Source organism: Homo sapiens, chromosome 12 (genome assembly GCF_000001405.40).
Source record: "Homo sapiens chromosome 12, GRCh38.p14 Primary Assembly".
Lineage (NCBI taxonomy): Eukaryota > Metazoa > Chordata > Mammalia > Primates > Hominidae > Homo > Homo sapiens.
The window spans coordinates 127,986,410-127,991,613 of NC_000012.12; the positions used below are offsets into that span (position 1 = coordinate 127,986,410).

At 43.1% G+C, this 5,204-nt stretch overlaps 1 annotated feature.

Moving 5' to 3' along the window:
- Positions 892–1,092: a silencer, noted in NCBI's record as "peak2041 fragment used in MPRA reporter construct". NCBI's record gives its function as "represses an SCP1 promoter by STARR-seq MPRAs in K562 erythroleukemia cells {active_cell/tissue: K562}" and the evidence as "EXISTENCE:reporter gene assay evidence [ECO:0000049][PMID:32103011]".

Consider the following 5,204-nt stretch of genomic DNA (forward strand, 5'->3'; position numbering starts at 1 on the left):
TTCGGCTTCTCCGTAATACATCAGACAGGCTTCCTTGAGAAAAGGCAGTCTATTTGCAGCCAGTCATGCCTGTCCCTCCTCGGATCCCACTTTTGTCTCACTCCTGCAAAATCTCGTGCCCTCAATTTCTAAAGCCCTAGTCATGGAAGGATTGCATGACTGGGTACATTTTGTTCTTCTCCGCCACCCATCCCACAACAAAACCTGTAAATTTCTTTCAATCCCTTTGTTCCCAAAACTAAAGGAGACTTCATATTGTAGCCTTGAAAGGTGACATTTGCAAATCAGCAAGCACCCTAGGCATAAGAGATTGCTCCGGGAGCATATGCCTCTCCCTCCATCTCATTTCTGGTCTGGGAAAAAACATGCCTCTCTCATGATCACATGCACGCACGCACACACACACACACACACACACACACACAGACTACACAGACCTCTCACTGGCCATCCCCTGCACCTATTCTCTGCCATGCTGGCCTCTGCCCATCTTCCTGTAGCACACTTTGCTTCCACATCACCAGGCATGAACTTTAATGCATATTAGCTCATTCTGGCTCACCTGGGCTTGTTTTCTTCCCAGAAAAAGTAAGCCAAGCCACCCAGGCCATGATTGATACCCTATAGGAACATTCCTTTCTTCGGACATCAAAAGTGGGAGCAGGCTAGAGAAGCCACCTCATGTCCTTTGCAGGATAATAGGGTCACCGCTGTACACCGAGTCCTCACTGTACCCACGCACGAGCTTGGGGGATGTTACAGAGATTCTTTCATTTAATATTCACCACAACCCTGTTTCACAGACAGCATATTTAGCTCACTTTCTCAGTTAACGTCGTGGTCAGTGGAGTTGGAATTTGAACTCCAGCGGGCTAACCTACATGTGTGCTGTTTAGCCACAGCCCCAGTCTTAGATCAGCTGTCTCATAAAGAGACCTTGGGATGAGAACTGGGCTTTCTCATGCCAGAATCATCAGTCACTGGCAGGGAGCCACTGTGGGGAGGGAGTAAACTCCCAGGCCCTCGAGCCTTTCTATGACCCTTCCTGGTGACAGTTGACGCAGTGGCCTGAAGGCACTCTTGATAGGAAAATAGCTGGGGCAGGCTTCAGAAGCCAAAGGGATCCAGGGAGAACTGAGTGAAGCACCAGATGTGATTCTCTCTGCAGAAGCTACTCCATTAAGGAAAGAAAAAACCATCCTGAGGTGAATCTGACAACGTAAAGCACAATTCCTAGAGGCCCTTAGCTGGTGAATACCTATGTGTCAGGAATCACAGCACCACCAAAGCATGGCGCCACCAACGCACGCCCAACACTCTGAGTCAGCTGACGCCACGTGATTCATGCTGATAAATGCCGGCACTTTCGCACTTTTGCTTGAGTAGTAAATTATTTTTAAATACAATCCCTATATGTATCCCGTATTGACACAGATGTAGAGGTATGTCTACATGCACATGCAGGCACACACCCCTGTGCAGATATCTCAGAGAGAAGCAACCTGCTCTGGATAAAGGAGGAATGAGGGTCTCATGTTAGAAGAACACCCTGCAATTCTCTTCCCCACGCCGGCCTCATTCCACTTGGTATATGTCCAATCACCCTCCTGGGACTGCTGGAATATTCCTCCTGTCTGTAGCTTCCTGATCACCTCCACTTTCCACAGGAATAATTAATTTCTGCTGTATTTCTGCCTAGAGCTTTTCAAATATGCTATTTAATTGTCTGCCTCAGGTGTTGTAAGTCACCAACACCTTGGCTCAATCCGGCCTAAAACACCAGTTTTTAGAATTGAAACAATGAGTATTGCTGCATCATAAACACCTTTAAATCTTTTTTCAGAATATTTTATAATATTTTGTTGCCTTTAGAAGGGAATATACTAGTTGGTGAAGCACAAAGCCTCACCACTTTCTACTGCCTTGTATGTGTTCTATTCATATCTTGTCATTACCTGCTCAAGGCCTGTGCACATTTAAATTTGCTGCTTCTCATGTACATATCGGTCTCACTTGTTAGGCTGAGAGTTTGGAAATAGTAAGGAGTTTTGTCCTGTTTATGCTTTATGTCCTAAGTAATAAGCACAGTGGATGAATCTCAGTAGATATTCAATAGCTTTTGTATTTGAATTTTTAAATAATTTATCAGTGATTATAATTTTATTTACTGTTTCAATTATTAGAGGTCTAGTAGCTTCTGACTGGGCTCTCTAAAATCCAGCATGTGACAAATCTTGACAATGATGAATGTGTTTCAATCCTTGCACATTATAAGTTAAAAATATTTAGTGTCTGAGTCCCCAGAATGAGCTAGACTCAGAGATCACAATTTATGCCAACCAAATTCCCAGAAACTATATAATAAACCAGGAAGGCCTTATATTCATTTGACACAAACCATATAATTTATTACAATTGCAGCAAAAGAACAAGACTGCTACTATGTCTCTTTGACTCTCACCTGAATACTTGGGTATGTGTGTTTATAAATATGAGGGTGTGCATGTGTGTATCTGTGAACATGTGTCTGTGTGTGTGTCTATATGAATGTGTTGTGGTGTGTGTGTGTGTGTGTGTGTGTGTCCAGAGGATGGGATTTGGGGATAGGAAAACAGAGATGATGGTGAATAAATATTTTAAATTTTTACTTCTATTTATATATTTCTGACTTTCTTCTTTACAAAATTATAATGCTTGCTTAGTGTAAAAAAAAGTTTATTAATAAAAACAATACTTCTTTGTCCTACAATCTAGAAAGTCTCTCTATCCCAGTTTTAGCCCATGAGCTTTGAAAGATAGAAGCTAATATCAGAATTTACTAGTAGTTTTTAGAATTGAAATAAGTATCGCTGCATCATAAACATGTTTTGTTTTGTTGAGATGGAGTTTTGCTCTTTTTTGCCCAGGCTGGAGTGCAATGGCACGATCTCAGCTCATTGCAACCTCTGCCTCCTGGGTTCAAGCAATTCTCCTGCCTCAGCCTCCCAAGTAGCTGAGATTACAGGCGCGTGCCACCACGCCCAGCTAATTTTGTATTTTTAGTAGAGATGGGGTTTCAACATGTTGGCCAGGCTGGTCTCGAACTCTTGACCTCAGGTGATCCGCCTCCGCCTCCCAAAGTGCTGGGATTACAGGCGTGAGCCACTGTGCATGGCCATAAACATTTTTAAGACATGTTTGAAGGGGTCACAAAGATGATGTTCCTGACAGCCCAAGCATATCATCTATTTTGTACATTCTGTGCACTTCTGTTTTTACAAAAGCGACAAAGCTCTTATATTGAGAGATATAACTTTTATATATGAAAATAACATTTCTGTGTCCTATATCAATAAGTCGATGTAATCTCTGTCCCATTTTTAGCACCACACAACTTTGAAGCATAAGAATCCAATATTGAAGTTTATTAGCAGGTGCTCGTATTAGAATAATACATAATGCTGCATCTTAAAACAGCTGTGAATTTTTTGTGTTGTTTTTGTGCAACGTGGTGCTCCCGAGTACAGGGAAGAAACGACCCAGACTTCTGGGGTACAGTTATCACAACACATCCCTTCCAGCTCCTCCGGATGGGGACCCCTGGGGCCGCTCTCCTCTGCCTCTGCTGACAGATCCTTCACACAGGTCTGCCCTGCCAGAGGATCGAAACTGCACCCCACGTAAAGGAGAAACTCAGAGATCAGGCAAGAGTCCCAATGTCCCCTAAGGAGGAGCTAGCAAAGTTATGTCAATTTTACATTGAATTAGCAACTTACAGAAGAACGATGTATTGGAAATAAAAGTTTGTCGAAGTTATTTAGAAATGAAAGACAGAAAACTGCATAATATAAATAATTATGTGAAAAATGTAATTAACTCTGTGGGTTTCACATGTGAAATTGTTTAAAGCCCTTTACTTTTCTCTCTCTCTCTCTGCTCTTGAGGAAGATTGTTTGATGTAGTCAATAATATCCCATGAATTCTACTCTCCTAATTTTCTATTTAATGCGATCTACCCGCTTCAGAGTTGATGCTTTTTGTTATGTTGATTCTTTCAACCAAACTCCAAAGATAAAAGGTATTTTAGTTCAAAGAAATATGAAGTTCTTCTTTTAGTAAGTGGTGTATCAATGGCATATTTTCAGACAGGCAGCATGAGAATTCAGCTCAAACTCTATTAGATGTTTCCCTATTTGTTTTCAAATCCCCATAAATCAGCCTTCGTTTTATTATTTATTCATTTTTTTTTTTGAGATGGAGTCTCGCTCTGTTGCCCAGGCAGGAGTGCAGTGGCATGATCTCCATTCACTGCAACCTCCACCTCCCGGGTTCAAGCAACTCTCCTGCCTCAGCCTCCCAAGTAGCTGGGATAGCAAGCGCCCATCACCATGCCCTACTATTTTTTTGTATTTTTAGTAGAGATGGGGTTTCAACATGTTGGCCAGGCTGGTCTCGAACTCCTGACCTCAAGTGATTCATCTGCCTTGGCCTCCCAAAGTGCTGGGATTACAGGCGTGAGCCACTGTGACTGGTCCCCATAAATCAGCCTTTGCGATCAGATCTGGTGGTGTTTGTGTGTGGAGAGAAACACATTTGCATGGGTCTACAAATGTAGGGCCTACGAAGAAGCCAAATACAGGGTAGAATTTTGCTCACAAGAATACAGGAAAATTGGCAAAAGGAAGATGAGTTCACTCAAGGTGTGTAAGTCATGGTAAGTTCAGTCCTGGTCACGTGCACTGTCACCGTGTGTTTTGTGCATTCTGTTTCCAGCACCCGCCCCACAACATTGCCTGTAGCCAACACAGCTGAGAAAGAAGGAGTTTAAGGGGCAGAGGGGGAGGGCTGGAGCCACCTTTGTCATTAACCCACCAGCCTCTTGGTCATTCCCACAGGGTGGAAACCTGAGAGGCCCAAGTTTGCTTGGCTGGAAGATGCACTAAATTTCCTTCCCCTAAATTCTGCTGAAACAGAATGTGAATCCTGTGCCCTCAGCATGCCTGGGGATCACAATTTGGTTTAAAGTGAAACAACTGTGTCCCTAAGTCCCTGAAAATCCATGCAGGGCAAGCTAAGAGTGCAGGTTTCATGCGGGGCAGGCTTGCATCCAATCCTGGTGTTGGGCCCCCTGCCTGGTGTGTCTGCTTACTAGTCCCCAGTTTTCTTATTTATATTCATAGAGTAACAACACTGAGATAGCAAACGGCACTCAACTATAGAGGTGG